The following is a 21,482-nucleotide window of genomic DNA, read 5'->3' on the forward strand; positions in this document are numbered from 1 at the left end:
CTGTGGGGCACACTTCAACATTTATCCACCCTTCCATCAGCCACCTTTGACCAACACTAAAAGCCCGTTACCAAGAAGACAGAGAGAATAATTTCTCTCCTATTAGTCCTTTCTCCTTCCCAAATGTAGTGTTAGCCACTGGGAGCTGTAATTGCAGGCATCACCCAAGGACTATGGATATAAATTTCACAAAGGGCAAGACCTTCCATTATGAGTGGGAAGATGGCTTTAATTAAAAAAAAAAAAATCAATATATTGTTTCCAATCATTAGAATCCCATGTCAGTGGCAAAATCAATCCTTTTCATATTAAAATGCTTACATTCACACTAAGATGTTATATTACACATGAGTCATTGAAGGAGGTGGGGAAGGGGGCTGCCTGAGGACCAGCAGGGGCCCCAGCCATGCTGGGCCATCCTTCCAGTCATGGGTTTCTTGAAGGCCAGTCTTCAGCAATGCTGTGAGGTGAGAAATTCTACACGCACCAGATAGATTTGAAATTCTGTGCACTAGAGAAAGTGTCTCATCTTGACAGATTCTTTCCTCATTCTTCCCAATCCTCAAATGAAAGCAAGAAGAAAAAGAAAAGCTGAAATCACATTTTAAAGAACGGGAGTGGTTTTCACTCTACAGCAGTTGCTCCCTATGCTGTGATGGTGAATTTTTTCTACAGGGTTCAACCAAGAAGCACCAGGGGATTCCGATGTTAAAAAGGGGCTGTGTTTTTAAGAGATAATTTATTTATTCATGTAAGAAAATGCCTTTGATTTTAATCAGTGGCAAGGGGTTGATTCTCCCCTCCAGTTTCCTGAGAAGCATCAGAGAACAGAGACAGTGTGGATCTTGCTGGAGAACCTCACGTATTACTGAAATCGACTCTTGACAGCATTAAATTCCCAGAGGTGCTATTCCATTTCCCACACAACATAATAGTAATGATCTTATGAAGAAATTTTGCTTTTATGGAAACTGTTTATTTCTAAGAACATTCTAACGTCAGGCTAAGTGTGAAGCTTCCCTAATAAAGAAGTAAAATAAAACGAGTCCTAATTAAAAACATTGTTTAAAGAGACACTTGTGAGATAAAAGAAAATCACACTTTACACGGAAAACTTAATCATGTATATTGCTAGAAAGCACTGCAGATTATTCAAGCCAATTTCCCAGAATCCATGCCTTGTCATTCTTTATACTCTTCAACCCCAATTCTTCTGGGTACCGTTTTCCTTAACTCCAGTTCAGCAGACACTCCCTTTGAAGTTAGTGTGAACCTCCTGCCCAAAGGGGAGAGAGATGCTTGAGGAATATCCGCTGATTTTTTTTTTCTCGTTTCACTGGGTTTTGAAAAGGATAAAACAGTCTTGCTGTCTGTCAAATGCTGCCCAGTTTGATTTCCTGCCTGTGTGGACAGAGCAGATATGTCTGGTTGATGCTCAGGCACTCAACAAATAGGACTGTGAAAATGATTTTATTAGCATATTGAAGAAATCGTGGGGCTGGCTTTATACGCTCACATATTTACTATGCCGTGGTGTTTTTCCTGCCTTTGGGAAGCAGACTCTACTAAGTTATTCCTTTGTGCTGATGTGAGCCTGGAGTAAGCCGGGAAAGACTTGAATGCTGGCTTTGTCCTGTTCTGTGACTTTGGGAAGTGACTTTACCTCCAAGTGCATTATCGCCTCTTCTATATAACTTGGGGAAAATACTACTGCCTTTCTTTTTTTGTTTGTTTTTTTTTTTGAGACAGAGTCTCGCTCTGTCACCCAGGCTGGAGCACAGTAGCACAATCTCAACTCACTGCAACCTCCACCTCCTGGGTTCAAGCAATTCTCCTGCCCCAGCCTCCTGAGTAGCTGGGATTACAGGGGATTACAGGCGTGCACCACCACATCTGGCTAATTTCTGTATTTTTAGTAGAGATGGGGTTTCACTATGTTGCCCAGGCTGGTCTGGAACTCCTGACCTCAAGTGATCCGCCCAGCATGGCCTCCCAAAGTGCTGGGATTACAGGCGTGAGCCACAGTGCCTGGCCATACTAGTACCTTTCTGACAGGGTTTTTTGTATTGAGTTATCAAATTCATTAAAAAAAAAAAGCCTTTATCAGCTAGGTACTAGTGTTATTCCCATGTTATAGAGGAGGAAACTGAGGCTCAGAGAGATACATGCCGAACACACTGCCTATATAAGGCTTATGCATAAACTTGGCATATAGTATAATGCCTGTTACCTAGAAAGAGTGCAATACATATTAACTATCATAATAATAGCTTCAGATCATTCCAGTGATCCTTTAAAATAGTGAGCAGAAGAGTGGCTACAGGTAGAAACTTGGGGAGCATCAACAATTAGGAGATGGGTGGAAGAGAGGAGAGAATCAACAATGATGAGGACACAACCAATCAATAATGACATTGCCCAGCATTTATGGCTTCTATACTGTGTGCCAGGCACTATTCTAAGGGCATCCCATGTTTTAACCCAGGAGTGTCCAATCTTTTGGCTTCCCTGGGGCACATTGGGAGAAGAAGAATTGTCTTGAGCCTCACATAAAATACATTAGCACTGACAATAGCTGATGAGCAAAAAACAAAAAGGAATATCTCTAAAAAATCTCATAATGTTTTAAGAAAGTTTATGAATTTGTGATGGGCTGCATTCAAAGCCATCCTGGGACACATGTGGCCCACAAGCCGGGGGTTGGACAGGCTTGCTTTAATCCATTTCATCTTCATCACAACACTCTGAGATAGGGAAGCATTGTATCCGTTATTTATAGATGAAGAGACTGAGGTATAGAGAGGTTTGGTGAATGCCTCAAGGTTGCGTAGCTGGTCAGTGGCAGAGCCATCCCTGCAGCCTGACTCTGGAGCGCACTTCTTTAAGCTCTCACTTTACCGCTGTCCCAGAGCACTGACAGGCAGAACTGGAGAATTAGGAGAACAAGAGACTGTATCATAAGACCAGGGAGAGATTGAGAGGCTGGCAGTGTTAAATTACCTTCCATAGGTTATGGTCCCAGCAGGAAAGAGATGGCATCCCCAAAATTGAGAAATTTGAAGACAGTTTAGTAAAGGGACTATTTACAAAGGTATGGTCAGGTGTAGGCTATTTGACTCCTGCAATCCAGAGTGTTAAAGATAATAATGGGCTACATGGTGGCAGGTAACAGTGGAGGGTAGAGAGTGAGGTTAGCACCTGTTGGCCTGGATGGCTGAGAGGAGAAAGTATATGCTGGGGCCGGAAGCAGTGGTTCACTCCTGTAATTCCAGCACTTTGGTAGGCCAAGGCAGGAGGATCACCTGAGGTCAGAAGTTCAAGACCAGCCTGGGCAACATGGTGAAACCCCATCTTTACTGGAAACAGAAAAATTAGCTGACTGTGGTGCTGCACGCTTGTAATCCCAGCTACTTGGGAGGCTGATGTGGGAGGATCGCTTGAACCCAGGAAGTGGAGGCTACAGTGAGATCCTGCCACTGCACTCCAGCCTGGGCAACAGAGTAAGCCCTGTCTGAAAGAAAGAAAGAAAAAAAGAAAGAAAGAAAAAAAGAAAGAAAGAAAGAAAGAAAGAAAGAGAGAGAGAAAGAAGAAAGAAAGAAAGAAAGAAAGAAAGAAAGAAAGAAAGAAAGAAAGAAAGAAAGAAAGAAAGAAAGAAAGAAAGAAGGAAGGGAAGGAAATACTGGAACCCTGAGAAAATGAGGGATGGTGGGAAGGAGAGGGAGGAAGAGAGAGAGAGAGTGAGAGAGAGATAACTGATTAGAAAGGACAGCCTAACAGGAGCTGTGACTTCTGACAAGAGTAGCAGGCAGCCTACCCTTAGTATGTCCATTGGAAGGAAAATAACTGCCCATCTCTGATGCTTCTTTCTCTTCCTATCATCTCTAGGACTTTCCATTGGCCAAACTCACTGGCAGCCAGAGGACAAAGACACCACTGATGCAACTGGTGGAGTTCAGCTTCCCTGCACACAAAGCATGGTGCAGAAGACAGAATAGATTTAAAAGAGCACAGGAGACATCCAGTCATGACTTAAAGACATTACATAAAATACTACTGTGTTTAGCAACTCAAATATTACTGATGACTTTGTTGAGAACATATTTCAGTGGAGTCATGGGGTGCTGGAAAAGCCGGAGGGCCAGTTAGCTGAATATTGAATGGTCAGTGACAGCGTGGAGGCAGTGAACAGAGACTGTTTTCAAGAACTGTGGTTAGTCAGGGAAGGAAAGAGAAAGCAATGAGGGCAATGGAGAAAATATTTATCAACACAGAGAAGAAAAAAGAAGTGGTTGAAATATAGACAATGGAATGAAATTCTTGGGAAGCTGAAGGAGCCAAGATCAAGATGCCTATTCCAGTGAAGCAGGAAGAAAGGAAGGAAAGAAGGGAAAGAGCAAAGGGTTCATTGTATAAGAAAATAACCTGTGGCATGGCAACAGTGATGCCATCTTGGAGGGAAACCATCTCCATGATGACCAATGTTTGACTCCTGCAAACCAGTGTGTTCTCCAGCAAGGTCTTTAAACATCACCCACAGCCTAGATAAGCCGTCATAAAGAAACAATGCCTGTAGCATGGAAAACCCCTCTCAAAGATGCTTATCTAACCTCCCCAGTGGTCATGAGTTTCATAGGAAATCCTGAGACATGGCCAGCTGCACCTCTTTTACCCTAAAAGCTTGCTTCTAGAGGTTGGATGTGGCGATCCACCTTCTCATGGCTGCCCAAGACATCACTTCTGTTTTTGAGTTCCTATTTAACATGTCTTCCCTAGAAACTGCAACCTCTGCTTCCCGAGTTCCATCATGTTTATTTTAATCTAGGTTCATCAGCTGATTCACACTGTAGATGAAGACTGAGTGAAGAACGGCACCACGAAGATCAAGGTGGGGAGGAGGAGAAGGTCCCAGTGTGATCCTCCCAGGGCACTGCAGTCTGGGGAAGGCATCGGGTTCACACCACTTAGAGATCCTTCACTGAGTCCACAAAGAATTTCACAGTGGCTGAGAGTAGTGGTCACCGCTGGAGTGAGGGAGCCAACTGCTCAGGAGAGGAACTCAGACAAGGGGAGACAGGCAGCCCGGGGGCATAGATGCACTGAGGTGTGTTGGGGAGGCACTAACTCTGCTGCAATACCTTCCAGATGATGGAATTTCAGCCAGAGGCTGTGCACTATGGCAGCTCCCCGTAACATGCCCTCAGGGGAGGCAACGCTGCACCATCAGATCCCTAAGAGTGGATGCTGTAGAGACCCAGGCAAGACAAGAAGACCTCCTGGCCCACTGCCTGGGCTTGCATGTGTAGTGTGTGGACTCTGGGCAGCAGAACTGTACTTGGAAGCAGGGTCTGAACATTCTTGGAAGCTGCTTAACCACTTCAATCTGGATTTTCATCCCTAAAAAAAAGAAAGAAAGACAAAGACTTTTGCATGACACCAAGGATAGGATTTGACCATCTCTCAACTCTGAACTTGCAAAGAAGAATTTACGCTCAAGTATCTGGGACATCACCACTTAGCTGAAAGTTTCTTTCTCTTTTGAAGGATTAGTGGAGGAAGTCATCAAAACATTTGTGTAGTTAGAAGCAGCCTAAAATAAAGGAGGAGGATTAAGGTTTAATTGCCATATTTTTTGTTTTGCAAAATGTGTACCCAATTAAATGCAGTTGGGCAGTTCTGGGAAGAAATTAATAAACAGAGGGTGGGGGAGATGTGGCTGCAGAGAGAAGAGACTGTTCCCAAGCTGAAATTTTGTTTGCCAAGTTTCAACAAAGAGCAAAGCTTAACTCTGAAGGAGAAACCCTTGAGAGACAGGGCTTAGAATAGTAAAGCAAAAAGAAGCCCCAAATGGGGTGGGTTGAGGAGACATTTTTCTAATGCAGTTTATCCTCAGCAGGTGCTGGCAACATCTGTAATGAGACTATCCATGATAAAAAGCTCTCCATACCTTAATCCACACTATATTACATTCATAAACACATTCCCTTCTATTCTCCTCCCCCTGAGGTGCAGGAATAAATAATGTGCTATTAAACTCACATCTCTGCTTTCTGCCTAACATTAAAAGTAAAATGAAAAAAATAGCTTCCACCATTAGAGTATTCCCAGGGGGATGAAAATGGGAAATACCAAGAAACATTTGGGGTGAGCCAATAGAGGAAGCTCTCATATCACCATCAGCACCATCAATTAAGAAACCCCGGGCCTGTTGGTGGGTGCCTGTAGTCCCAGCTACTCAGGAGGCTGAGGCAGGAGAATGGCGTGACCCCGGGAGGCGGAGCTTGCAGTGAGCCGAGATTGTGCCGCTGCGCTCCAGCCTGGGCATCAGAGCAAGACTCTGTCTCAAAACACAAACAAAAAAAAGGAACCCGAAGACTATACATTGAGTAGGTCCTTTGAAAGATACAAATAAATGAGGAATCTTAATTTAATTCAAATGTTATCAAAATAATGAGTGCCCAAGTTTTAAAAATGGAATCAATTCTTTTTATGTATTCATTTATTTATTCATTTGTCCTACAACAATATGTACTAAGCATTTACTACGTGCAAAACACAACGGTACAGAAATTCAAAATATAGAAAAACCGTAGGAAGTACTGTATGGCACTTGGCTTTATAGTCTGTGGCAAAGGTGGCTAGTAGTTTGATATGGTCCTGTCTTCCCACCTTAATTTGGCTACCTTTAATAGGAGCCTACTGTGCAATCCCACTAGGCCAGTACACAGTGTAACTGAAGGTAGAGCTTTCTATCCTGGTACACAATCGATGTTCATAAAAAATAATCCAAGATGATTAAATTGCATGATGTTTTTCCTTCTGGTCTGTAGGAGACATACATGACCTTGCATACATATACCTCACCTCCAATTCATTCATTCATGTATTCATCAAATGTATAGCCCTCATCTATTAAGCACCAGAAAATGCTTGGTGCTGGAGATAAAAAGATGACTCCAATTGTCTTTTCTTTTTTTGTTGTTGTTTTTTGTTTGTTTGTTTGTTTTTTGTTTTTTAGATGGAGTTTCACTCTTGTCCCCCAGGCTGGATTACAATGGCGTCATCTCAGCTGACTTCAACCTCCACCTACAGGGTTCAAGCGATTCTCCCCCCTCAGCCTCCTGAGTAGCTGGGATTACAGGTGCCCACCACCGTGACCAGCTAACTTTTGTATTTTTAGTAGAGATGGGGTTTCACCACTTTAGCGAGGCTGGTCTCAAATTCCTGACCTCAGGTGATCCACCAGCCTCCGCCTCCCAAAGTGCTGAGATTATGGGCATGAGCCACCGCGCCTGGCCCCAGTCATCTTTTCTTTAAAGGGACTTATGATCTAGTGGGATGCCAAGATAAGAGATGCATCTCTGTACAAACTGTCACAGTTGCTGGGACAGTCTGGGCAGAGTGAGACCCAGGAAAAAAAGACCATAGCAAGGCTTGATGATAGCTTTGTCAAGTTCATGACTTTTGCACCATATTTGAATGACAAGTCAGCATGTGAGGTGAGAAAGGAGGAAGATATTTAGGTGAAGGGAGTCATGAACCATGGCTAGAAATGTGAAGAAGCACCCAGGAGTGTTTGGGGAATGGTAAGTGCCTGTTCAGCCAAGGAGATGGGTCCAGAGTTGGTGGAGGCCTGGAAAAACATGGGACAGGAAGATCTTCCGTGGTGAAGGATTCCTTTCCCCACAGTGGTGATGTTGTGTGCATCATGGAAGAAAGACCCACGAGATGAGTGTGGCAGTAGGAGGCAATTCTTGTTCACTCAAAGCTCCTCTCTGCTACAATAGCTAGGGCTTTCTTTACTTATGACATAATCCAAGCTTACCTTTCTTGGAGGCTTTAAAAAAAATAGTCTAGATTCAGAGAAGTAAGGAGGACCTGAGAGATAATTCTAAGATTGATAGTTAAAGTGATTCTACAGTTTATTGATTGAATGCATTGGAACATTTCAAGAAATTGCAAAAATAAGAAATAAAAAAACAGTTTCTAACTGATCAACTGAACAATTTTATTCTGCAAAATAGAATTTATTGTAATTTACCGAGTCAACTTGGATTTTTCAAAAAGTTAGGGGTTGATTGCTGTGTAACACATCATGTAGAAAACATTTTTGAATGCTGAAGTAGTGGATTCTAATAAATGTATACAGAAGAATAAACAAAACAATATCAATCTCATATATCTCCATGAAAGAGACTTAGATATTTGGTGTATATACATATTGACCAGGCTACTTTTTATACTCACTGGTTCTCTTTTAAAACTAATAATGCTACTCAAACCAACAAAACAAGCAAGCTTTAGAATATAATCTCTGTTTACAGAAAAAAAATATATTCAACATGAATTAAGCAAGGCTTGTTTATGATACACAGAAAGAACAGGCAAGGCCCCTATCCCCAGCCCACAAACACACATTTAATGATACATCTACACGCTAGCATCACTTTGGATGTTTTCACATTCAAATTTGCTGGAAACGTTTAGTCTGGGTATGTACAGTAAGTACAGTGGTCCCCCCTTATTCGAGGTTTTGCTTTCTGTAGTTTCAGTTACTTATAGTCAACTACCATTCAAAAATTGGTGAGTCCAGTAGAGTAAGATAATTAGAGAGAGGGAGGGGGGGGCCACATTCATTAACTGTTATTACAGTATATTGTTATAATTGTTTTATTTTATTACTAGTTATTATTACTAATCTCTTACTGCACCTAATTTATAAATTAAACTTTGCCACAGGTATGCATGCTTAGAAAAAAGCACAGTCTATGTAGGTTTGGTACTCTCTGTGGTTTCAGGCCTCCAGTGGGGGTCTTGGAATTATCCCCTGCGGATAAGGGGGGACCACTGTATGCATGCCACAGTAGTGCCAACAAGAATAACTCAGATTTGATCTGCCATTTTGTTCCATTATGGCTTTCCACGTGAGTCTCTGCTGAAGGAAAGTCAGGAGTGTTTCAGACCAAAATCTGTTTGTACGTTTTGTGGGACATGCACTCTTTTGCATTTACATTTTTTTTTGAAATGTCCCTTATGCCTTTTTCAAATATGCATCTCCTATGTCACCAGCCAGACTGCAAGCTGCAAGCATAGCATCTGGAGCTACGACTATCCATGGCTATCATCAACTAGCCAGCTGACATGTTGTCAGGTCTAAGCCTAAATCTTTATGCTTAGTGAATTGAGGACAAAGGATAACCTAATGTTGTTTCTGTTAAACCGAAATTGCTGTTTATGGCAGACTTTTTCCAAAGTACTAAACAACTCCATCTAGCAGATCAATTTGCTTAGGCGACCTGAGGGAACATTTTGTAGTTAATTCATTTGAACAGACCTGCTGGTAGGCAGTGCTGATCAAAATCAGATGTACAATAGGATAAATGCTCTAGTTCTTCATCAGAAAGACGGAAGACTGGAGATCTCTGCCAAAAAACTCCCCAAGCTCCAGTCACGTTTGCTTAGTTTTAGCAACATCTCTGGGATCATTTGTATTAGATTTACTTGGAAATTGGTTGAAAAAGTATGCAAATTCCCGAGCACAAACCTGGACTCCCTCAATAGAATCTCTATGGGTGGAGTCTCAGAATCTAGATTTATAGAAAGTTTTCCAGAAAATTTATTTGCACACTAAAGTTTGAGGATGATTGTTGTATGGAATCCAGAGAATGTCACTCTAGACATAAGGACAGACTGATTTTCTAGGGGGAAAAATGGCATCTCTGCTCTGGAAACTACTGTAGCTCATTTTACTGGAAGTGGGTGTTCCCACGTTAGAGCACAGACAAACCCGCCAATCACTCTGCTTAATCAGATGTCTTATACCATGTCAGCAGTGGTCCCTGGTGAAGAATTAAGTTCTCCCAAATATTTTAGCATCTAAGCTTTTATATCAAAAAGCGGAACATTTCACTTCTCTAACCACATTGAAAATACATTGCATTATTGATCTCATTCCACCCAAATGAACCATCCTCAACTTTTCAATAATCACAAACGACTCACTAAAATGAGGGTGGTGCATTGACCAAGGTGCTATGGTCTGAGTGTTTGTGTCCCCCAGCCCATTTCATATGTTGAAACCTAACACCCCATGGGATAGTGATACAGAATGGCTGGGCTGCCGGCTAAACCCCACCCTTAAGCCTGGAACTGCAGCCCTAGATGAAAACAGCTGACCCCGTTTTTCTGCCCAAATGTTGCTTTTTTGACCTGCCCTGCCCCTATCCTATGCCCATAAAAAGACTTCAGCTGGCAGAGCAATACAAGCAGTTGAACACTGGGGATACAAGCAGCTGAGTGGCAAGCAGAGAAGCAACTGACCATTGGAGACTACAGAAAGATGTGATTAACTTCAGATGGGGCAGTTTCAGGGAAAAATCACCTTCTTCCTGCACCATCCCCTTTCCAACTCCCCATTCCACTGAGAGCCGTTTCCACTTCCATTGCCCAATAAAATCCTCCATGTACACTACCCTTCAATTTGTTCATGTGACCTGATTCTTCCTGGACACAGGACAAGAACCTGGGTGGCTCACACCTGTAATCCCAGCACTTTGGGACGCTGAGGCAGGTGAATCACCTGAGGTCAGGAGTTCAAGACCAGCCTGGCCAACATGGTGAAACCCCATCTCTACAAAAAAATGCAAAAAATTAGCCAGGCATGGTTGTGCATGCCTGTAATCCCAGCTACTCAGGAGGCTGAGGCAGGAGAATTGCTTGAACCGGGAGGCAGAGGTTGCTGTGAGCCAAGATCATGCCATTGCACTCCAGCCTGGACAACAAGAGCAAAAAGAAATAAAAAATAAAACAAAAATACAAAACAAAACCTGAGTGCTGAGAGGGCAGGAGCTTGGACATTGCTGTGGGGCCTGCACAGAGCGTGCTCCAGCCAGAGAGGAGTGACCAGCTGGTTCCAACGTTCATTTGCTCCAGTTCCTGCACTTGCTTGCTCACGCACTCCCTCTCTCAAGGAGTGGCCAGCAGTGGGCTGAGTGAAATGAGCCACTCCAGTTCCCACCCATGAAAGGGGTCAAGGTCATGGGAATAATCCAGTCTCAATAGTATTAAAAGGCGGGCTCTGTCTGGAGGTGATTGAATCATGAGGGTGGAACCCTCCTGGATGTGATTGGAGTCCTTATAATAGAGACCCAAGGGAGTTTGTCCCTTCCACCACTTGAGGACACAGGCAGAAGACATCATCTATAAGGAACATACCCTCACCCAACACTAAATCTGCTGGTGTTCTGATCTTGTACTTCTCAGCCTCCAAAACTTCAGGAAATAAATATCTGTTGTTTATACATCACCCAGTTGATGTATTTTGTTATAGCAGCCCAAATGGACTAAGACACAAGGTGACAGAGGGGTTGTGTGATCTAATTAATTAAGGCTTGGAGAGTGACTGGAGAAGGGTTTGGTATTAGCATTCAGTATTATTTATTTGTAATGCAATTTGAGAACTTTCTCCATAATGAGGAAAAATTACACACAGCCATTTAATTCCTCAGGGTACTTGAGAATAAAAAGCTGGCTTCAGGAGAGCAGAGAATTACTGCAGCCTTTACTATAATAACCACCAGCATGGAAATGAAATAAGAATCTGCTAGCTCCAGGTGGAAAGTTATCTGAGGAACCTAAATGGGCCTGTTGCTGATATACTCATGGTTGGCACAAGCAGAAAACCAGACATTCAAGCCCCTCCACTGAACCCCTCGCAGTCAGCAGCACTAAAGCCCAGAAGCACAAAATGAGTGAAGATATTGGTGGCGATAAATTTTTTTTTTGAGTTAATGGACTTCATGAATACATGTATTTTTTAAGTTCGAGCTATTATCTAATTTCAAATCACCCCTTGCTAACATACTAATTTATTAACTTACAGAAATGATGATCCTACGTGATACTGGCCTCCCGACAACAGAACTGGGTTTTGGCAGGGTTTTATTTTCAGCAACACTGGGGAGAAAAAGCATGAGAAACTTTTGAAGAATAATAAAAAATGGATTAAAGGGAATAGAAATAATTTATCATGTGCAGATGTGCAGAAAGAAAAGATGGTGGCTTTGCAGCTTGGTTTTCTAAAAACCAAATTGTAGTGAAGGTATCTTGCCCAATCACCAATTTGTGAAAACAGGGACCTAGATGTCTCATGAGCTATCAGGTGTACTAGCTTTCATAAAAATCACATGATCAAATGAATAGTCAGGAAATTCCCCTTCTTCTGACTAACCAAACCCAGACCTTGCAACCTTAATGAGAAGAGAAGGCCAGGAAAATCTGGCAGGTTGTTTGTTGAAAGCCAAACGCTGTGTGCATGTCAGCGGCTCTCTAAGGAGGTTCAAGGCTGCCGAATGACTTGAAAGTCCTCTGCAACTTTCTGTAGGAAAGGATAAAAAGGTAAACTTAGGAAAGGAAGGAAACGTGGATTAAAGTATGACTTGCAGCTTCTAGAATCTTCCAAGGAGGAAAGCACTTCCAAAAAATGCTTAGAGGTTTCTTTTGTGTCTGAAAAGTAAATGAATTGCTCAATGAGTTCCCCTTTCATAGAAGGCTACTTTAAAAAAATTATACTTTATTACTTTATATTATGCTTCTATATTTTTACTTTTTTATTTTAAAAAAACAGGAAAATGTGTCATGGATTCTAGGAAGATTTACAATTAAAATAGTTAAAGTTTTTTTCCATTTTGTGACTTTGCTTTTCACACTCTAAGTTATCCTTTGATGAATACACTACTAATTTTAGCATAGTCCAATTTGTTCATCTTTTTATTTATAGTTAGTCCTTCTTCTCTCCTTTTCAAAAAATAGTTCCATACCTCATGGTCATGAAAATTTCCTCCCATATTATCTTCTGAAAACTCTACCATTTTGGCATTTAAACTTAGATCAAGAATCCACTTGGAACTGATTTTTTCCAATATATACATCGATTTTTTCCAACTCTGTTTATTAAGATGATGGTTCTTTCTTTATAGTTCTACTGGGTCACATTGAGTCTCCCTGTGGGTCTGTTTTGGATTTGCAGTTTTGCCCCACTGATCTGTTTATCCCTGCACTGACACCACCATGCCTTATTGCAATAGTTTCCAATGAGTTTTGATATCCGGTAGGGCAAATCCTCTGTTCTCTATCTCCTCCTTTTCTTCCTGGTCCTCCTCTTGCCTCTTCAAGAGTATCTTAGCTACTTTTTGCCTTCTACTTCTCCACATACATTTTATAATCACTTTGCCAAATTCTATTAGAAAGAAAACTATTGATATTTTAGCTGGGATTGTATTGCATCTATAGAACAATTTGGGAAAGAATTTACGTCTTTGCAGTGTTACTTTTCCAACACATGAATGCCTCGTATCTCTCTTATTTAGGACTTCTTTAATTCTTTCCAATTCTGCATTATGGTTTTTTACACAGAAGCACTGTACATTTTTTGTCAGACAGATTCCTGTGTTTTGGATAATTTTTGATACTATTGTGAAAGAAACATATATAAGCAACAAAATATATCTTATATAGTCAGAATATATATTTTTAAACATCAAAAGTTAAAATCAAAGAGACAAAAGCCCAATAGAAAAGTAGCCAAGCTGAGTGTGGTGACTCGCGCCTGTGATCCCAGCACTTTAGGAGGCCAAGGCAGGAGCACTGCTTGAGCCCAAGAGTTTGAGACCAGCCTGGACAACATGGTAAAACCCCATTGCTACAAAAAATACAAAAATTAGCCAGAAGTGGTGGCACAAGCCTGTGGTCACAGCTGCTCCAAAGGATGACATGGGAGGATCGCTTGAGCCCCAGAGGTTGAAGCTGTAGTGAGCCGAGATCATGCTACTTACACTCCAGCCTGGGTAACAGAGCGACATCCTGTCTCAAGAAAAAAAAAAAAGGAAGAAAAAACGTAGCCAAGACTACCTGAAGAATACTTCATCAGAAAGGATACTCAAATGGTGAATAAAATGATAGAAGGCACTCCAATCTCATTAGTCACCAGGGAAATGCAAACTAAAATTACAGTCTTCCCTTGGTATCCAAAGGGGATTTGTTCTAGGACCTCCCATGGATACCAAAATCTGCACATGCTCAAGACCCAGATATAAAATAATGTATAATAGATGGCCAGGCACAGTGACTCACACCTGTAATCCCAGCACTTTGGGAGGCCAAGGTGGATGGATCACTTGTGTCTAGGAGTTGGAGACCAGCCTGGCCAACATAGTGAGACCCCAAAAAATTAGCCGGGCTCGATGCCTGTGGTCCCAGCTACTCGGTAGGCTGATGTGCAAGAATCACTTGAACCTGAGAGGCAGAGGTCACGGTAAGCCAAGATCGCACCACTGCACTCCAGCCTGGGCGACAGAGTGAAACTCTGTCTCAAAAATAAACAAAATAAAATAAATAAAATAAAATAGTGTAGTGTTTACCTATAACCTACAAACATCCACCATATACTTTAAATCATCTGTAGATTGCTTATAATATCTAATGCAATGTAAATGCTATGTGAATACTTGATATGCTGTATTGTTTAGGGAATAATGACAAGAAAAAACAGTCTGTATATGTTCAAAACAGATTCAACTTTATCTTTGAACATTTTTCATCTGCAGTTAGTTGAATCCAGGGTTACAGAATCCACAGGTACAGAGGGCTGACTGTACAATGAAATAACACCTCTCACCCCCAAGTGGCTAAAATTAAGACTGACAATAGCAAATGTTGATGAGGATATGAAGCAAAGGAGAACTTTTATATACTGCCGGTAGGGGTGTAAAATTACTTTGGAAAACAGTTTGGTATTGTTTACTAAAGTTGATGATACACCCTGTGACCAAGCCATTCTACCCTCAAGAATATCCTAGAGAAATGTATTTGTCCTCCTGACTATGTATATAGAAATATTCACAGGAACATTCTTTATTATAACCAAATACTGGAAAAAGCTCAAAAGTCTAGACAGGTGAATGGATAAATAATGGCGGTAAATTAATACAATGAAATATTATACAAGAATTAAAATGAACAGTATACAAGTACACATAAAAGCCCAGATAGATCTCACAAATGTAATGTCGAGTTTGGGAGCCACAAAGAAAGGAATAAATGTTGTATAATTCCATTTATAGCAAATTTTAAGACAGGTGAAAACTAAACTATGATGTTTAGTGATACATACTCTGATTGTAACAGCATAAAGGAAGTGAAGGAGATAATTACCATAGAAGCAGGAGAGAACTGTGACTAGAAGGAGGACCTGGGGGCATCCAGGGATATCGGCAACATTTTCTTTTTTGAACTGGGTGCTAGTTACAAGGGTGTTTACTTTATAATTATTGATTAAGCTAGGAATCATCTGGATAGAAATTATTTTATTTCTTCAATGGCTAAAATAAGACTTCTTCTGGCCTTCATAAATAACCAAAAAAATGATTAAACAGAGTGGGTCTTCGTTAGAAATACATGATGCTCTTTATGTCATTTTCTATATGTATATTATACAATATTGATGACAAATAAGATTTTTACAATTTCAGTTGTAAAAATTTGGAAAATCACGCACACACATTGTACCTCATTCCGTAAAGTTTGTGGATTGTGTCTGTGTGAGTGTAAACACAATTTGGTGATTGTATGTTGACAGATTATTTCAAACCCTCCATTGCTAATTTACCAATTCCCTAACTTGAATAAAGAACAACCATAATGATGTGAACCTCCTGATTGTAATGCTCAGTTTTAAACATTTTTATTTTGTCACTATATTTTATATATATATAATGTATATAAAATGTTTATGGGTATATATTTGTAATTAAACATGTTGATATATGTATTTATATGTAAGTACACATAAAACTAAAAATAAAAGTACACACTTATATGTGTGTGTGTTTGTGTGTATATATACACATATGTTTAATAACAAACATATACCCATAAAAATATTCAAGGAGTCACACTTTTTGCAGAAAGGTTATTTAATAGATTCTTTCGATAATGAGATTTTTCTCCTGGGAGAAAACATGTTTTAATCACATTTTGTTTTGCATTTTCAGTTTAGTACTTATCTGGTTTTTGGATTTATAAACACTTAAATGATATGAGATTACACTCCCATAAAGCTGTTTAGTAACTCTTACATAGCCAGGAATCACCAGAAATTATTTTATTTCTTCAGTGGCTAAAATAAGACTTCTTATGGCTTTCATAAATAACAAAAATGATTAAACAGAGTGGATATCTATTAGAAATATGTGCTGCTGCCTGAATTGGGGATATATATATATATACATATTTCTCCTTTTACTGTGTGTGGGGCCCACACTGTTTTTCACCCTCACAGATCTCTTGAAATGTATCTCTGATTCACAGAAGGGATTACTCACTAAGCAGTGTTATTTCAAGTAATGATATATTGCTGGCTGGTATTTTAGTAGATTCTTAGTAACCAGTCATTGAAGAAAGAGAGGAGAGAGAGGACTAAAAGGAGTTAAGAAGTAAAAAAGAAAGGTAGGAAGATTTTTTTGAAATGACTATAAGCCAAATTAAAGCATAAACAATAAATGAATGAAACACTACTAAATGAATGAAAGAAAATGAATGAATCAATAAAAAATTAATGAGTGGATGAAAAATGAGTAGATGAATAAAAGAATTAGTGACTGAAAATCAATGGATAAGTGATGAAATGCATGAAAAATATATAACAATAGAAATAAGTAAATGAATGAACAAATGGATGAATGAATGAATAAATAAAAATGAGTGAATTACAGAGAGATGGAGTTGATAGATAAATAAATGAAGAATGAAAATGAACGAGCAAATGAAACAATATCTAAACGCATGCAAGAAAAACGAGTGGGTAAGTGAATACATGAAAGAATGAGGATCAAAGGCATCAGCCTAATGTCTTCATTTTGCAGAAGTGAAAACAAGGGATATGTGATTAAATGATTTGTCTTTGATGGGGAAACTAGAACCTAGTTTTGCTGAAGATGAATTCATAGCATAATTTATCTTGAGTTTCCCTGAACAGCAAGCCTGAGACAAAGACTTTGTTCAGGTACTTGATTTGGGAAGCCACTCCAAGGATTAGGAGCAAACATGTAAGAGGAATAAGACAGGAAAGTAGAAAATGCCAATATAAGAGTGTGCTGTTGAGGTCATCTCTGTAGGCAATGGAGGTAGAGGAAAATCACTGGGAACTCCCCTCTCAGAACTGTCCGCCAGAAGGGTGGGAGGCAGGAGCATGTATCCACCAGTGCGCCTGGGGTTGAGGGAGACCCCTAGGGGTGTTAACTCCAGGTTGTGCATGTGCAGCAGGCAGACTGATCTCCTCCAGTGTCAGAGGAGCCTGGAGACCAAATGAAGATGGAAGCCTGTTCTTGAGGCAAAGGTTGATAGCAGAAAGTGAGTGAAAGCCCATTGTGCTGGTTAATTTCATGTGCTTCCATCAGAGAGCTGGTGAAACATTATTTCTTGGTGTGTCTGTGGGAGTGTTTCTGGACAAGGTTAGTGTTTGAATTGGTGGAATGAGGAGAGCAGATGGCCCTCCCCAATGTGGATGGGCATCCTCAATCCATAGAGGGTCTGGAGAGAGGACGAGGCAGACAAAGGTTGGATTTGCTCATTCTCTACCTGACTGACTGAGCTGGAACAATGCTGGTTCTCAAGCCTTCAGACTGTGCTTGGATCTATACCACTCCCTCTGTGGCCCTCAGTTCTTCAAACTACACCTTTCTTGGGTTTCCAGTCTGCAAAGGGAAGACTGTGGGATTTCTCAGCCTCTGTAACTGTAATCCTGTGAGCCAACAGTTTAGAGTAAATTTCTCTCTCTCTCTCTCTCTCTTTCTCCCTCTCTCTCTCCCTCTCTCTCTCTCTCTCTCTATATATATATATGGGAGCTAAACATTGAGTACATCATGGATATTTATAAATCTCTTTAGATATAATATATATAATATTTATAATAAATAAATAAATATATATAAATACATAAACACACACACACACACACATACATATACACACGCACAGTAGTTTCCTGGTATTCATGGAGGATTGATTCTAGGACCCCACCCCCCTACAAATACAAAAATCCACAGATGACCAAGTGTGTCATACAAAATGGTGTAGTATTAGCATATAGCCTAGGCACATCCTTCAGTATACTTTAAATCAAGCTTGTGTAACCCAGGGCCGCATGTGTCCCAGGACAGCTTTGAATGCAGCCCAACACAAATTCGTAAACTTTCTTAAAACATGAGATTTTTTTTTGTAATTTCTTTTTTAGCTCATCAGATATTGTTCATGTTAGTGCATTTTATGTGAGGCCCAAGACAATTCTTCTTTCAATGTGGCCCAGGGAAGCCAAAAGATTGTACATCTCTGCTTTAAATCATCTCTAGATTGCTTGCAATATTTAATACCATGTACACGCTATGTAAGTTGTTGTTATACTGCATTGTTTACTGAATAATCCCAAGAAAAAAATCTGAACATGTTCAGAAGAGATGTAATTTTTTAAACAATATTTTTGATCCCTGGTTGGTTGAATCAATGAACGCAGAGCCTTCGGAAGATACAGAGGATCAACTGTGTGTGTCTTTGTGTGTGCACATGTGCATGTTTGCACATACAAGTATGTCCTATTGGTTCTGTTTCTCTGGAAGTCTAGTACACCCATACTAGACTGTCTACCCAGAGGTGGCTGCAGTCAGAGCTGAAGTTACAAGGATGTGAAGCATGGCATTAGAAACACCAGGAGCACTCTATCGTGCTGATTTGTTCTAGGTAAGTTCTAGAAGGTGCTAGAAAAAGGAAGATGACTAAACAGTCATGATTTAATGTGTGTCTAATTAACAGGAACTCAGCCACAAAAATAAAATCAGGCTGAAGTTTCTGTTTCCTTCAGGCTCCAGGAGCTTCACAATCTGGTGTTAAATCCTGGTTCTGGTTAACAGATTATCAGAGTCTTCAGAGTTACTTTTCTTTTTCTTTCAACTCATAGCAATTGTTAATTTTAAGGCAGAAAAAAGAAGTCCTTTTAAAATATAAGAGTATATACAGAAACATTTAAGAAATAGGGAAACTACCCTGCCAAGAAGCCCTTTATCTCTGAACAAGAACAATATGTAGTTCTTAGAGGTAAAGCCCACACTGCATCCATGACCTCTTGTCTTCCCTCTTATGTTACAGAGATTCTGCCAGCTGTCAATTTAAACTTTGGGTGTGGTCCTTCCCCTAATCTCTGCACTGATAATACTGAGCTCCAAAACCTCACCTTTTGCATATGCTGAGTGAGAAAAGAACTAAGCATTGATGATTTTCCTTCAAGCTTACTACTCTCATTTCTTCTCAGAGTTCCCCCAATCATTTCTTCATGGTGTCCCCTCGAGCCTCCTAATGTTTTCTCACCTGCCTTCCCCAGGTAACAGCCAATACTGACCTCAGGAAACATTATCTGCTTTCCTTCTATTCCCAAGGGCTCCCCGTGCTGGAGGGCCAAGCAGATAAACTAGCCTAAACTAAGGTATTTAATGCCTGTCATGAGGAATCAGGTCTCTTCCCAAAGTAGCAGTTACATTTTAACAGGAACTTTGGTGCTGTAATTCCAAATAATAAACAATATGGAAACTGCTGGAACTGTGGCAGGACCAAGGAAGGAGATTCCGGAGGCCATGAAAGGTTTTGCCACAGCACTATTCAGAGTAGCAAAGACATGGAATCAACCTAAGTATCCATCAATGGTGGGCTAGATAAGGAAAATGTGGGGCCGGGGGTGGTGGCTCACGCCTGTAATCCCAGCACTTTGGGAGACTGAGGTGGGTAGATCACCTGAGGTAGGAAGTTCCAGACCAGCTTGACCAATATGGTGAAACGCTGTCTCTACTAAAAAAAATGCACAAAAAATTAGCTGGGCATGGTGGCACACACCTGTAATCCCAGCTACTTGGGAGGCTGAGGCAAGAGAATTGCATGAACCTGGGAGGCAGAGGTTGCAGTGAGCTGAGAACGCACCACTGCTCTCCAGCCTGGACAACAGAGGGAGACCCTCTCAAAAAAAAAAAAAAAAGAAAGAAAGAAAGAAAAGAAAATGTGATACGTATACACCATGGAATACTACTACTACTACTACATGGCCGTAAAAAAGAATGAGATCCTGTCTTTTGCAGCAATATGGATGCAGCTGAAGGCTATGATCCTAAGCAAATTAATGCAAGGACAGAAAACCAAATACCTTATGGTCTCACTTATAAGTGGGAGCTAAACATTGAGAACACATGGACACTAAGAGGGGAACAACAGACACCACAGCCCACTTGAGGGTGAAGGGTGGGAGGACGGTGAGGATTGAAAAACCACCTGTAGAATATTATGCTGATTATTCATGACAAAATTATCTGTACACCAAACCCCTGCGACACAACACACAATTTACCCATGTAACACACTTGCACATGTACCCCTTGAATCTAAAATAAAATTTGGAAAGAAAAAGTAAAATAAAAGACGATTTTGTGATTGTCAGGACATACATTCATGCTTACACTTTTTTCCCTTCTTGTTTGTATTTACCAGAAATATACTGAATTTTTAACATGGTGGATTTCAGCTTTGTAATCCTATTTTCAATCAATTTCCATGTTCTGCTAATTATAACCACCATTATAAAAACCGTACAAGAGGTAGTGTCCCCTTATTATATGTATATAATGTTAAAAGAAAAACTGCAGCCAAATTAAATTTAAAGGAGTTTAGTTGAGCAATGAACAATTTGTGAATCAGGCAGCCCTCCGGAATCATAGCAGATTCACAGAGACTTCCACGCAGCCACGTGATGGAAGAAGATTTACAGACAAAAAAGGGAAATGATGTACAGAAATCAGAAGTGAGGTATAAAAACAGCTGGATTGGTTACAGGTTGGCATTTGCCTTATTTGAACACAGTTTGAACAATTAGCAGTCTGTGAGTGGTTGAAGTATGGCTGCTGGGATTGGCCAAGACTTAGCTATCATTACAGGCCCATACTCCTAAATTAGGTTTTCAATCTTGTCTGCCTATTAAGCTAGGTTACAGTTCATTCATAAGGACTCAAATATGGAAGTATGGAGTCCGTCTCAGGCCATATTTAGTCTGCTTTAACAATAACACAAAATTTTGCCCCAACTATCCATACATGAGATTGGTCTTGCCTGGGACAATAATTTTGCTTCCAAGTCCCCTTCCAGTAGAAACCCCCTGTTCCTCCTCTATTATTCCTTATCTAAAGCCATGAGCCTCATTGGCCATCCTGTCTCCAATCCAGAAACCCAGGCATCAATCTTCAGTCTTTCCTTTCCCCAACTCTTCCCCATCAAAATCCTGTCAATTCTCCTGCCTCATCATCTTGGCCAGCCGTACGTTTATCTCTTTCAACTACTGTGATGAGGGCTCCCAGAGAGAGCGTCAGGCAACTTTACCTGATCTGGACATTGACTAAGATCCT

Source organism: Homo sapiens, chromosome 10, assembly GCF_000001405.40.
Source record: "Homo sapiens chromosome 10, GRCh38.p14 Primary Assembly".
In the NCBI taxonomy this organism is placed as follows: Eukaryota; Metazoa; Chordata; class Mammalia; order Primates; family Hominidae; genus Homo; species Homo sapiens.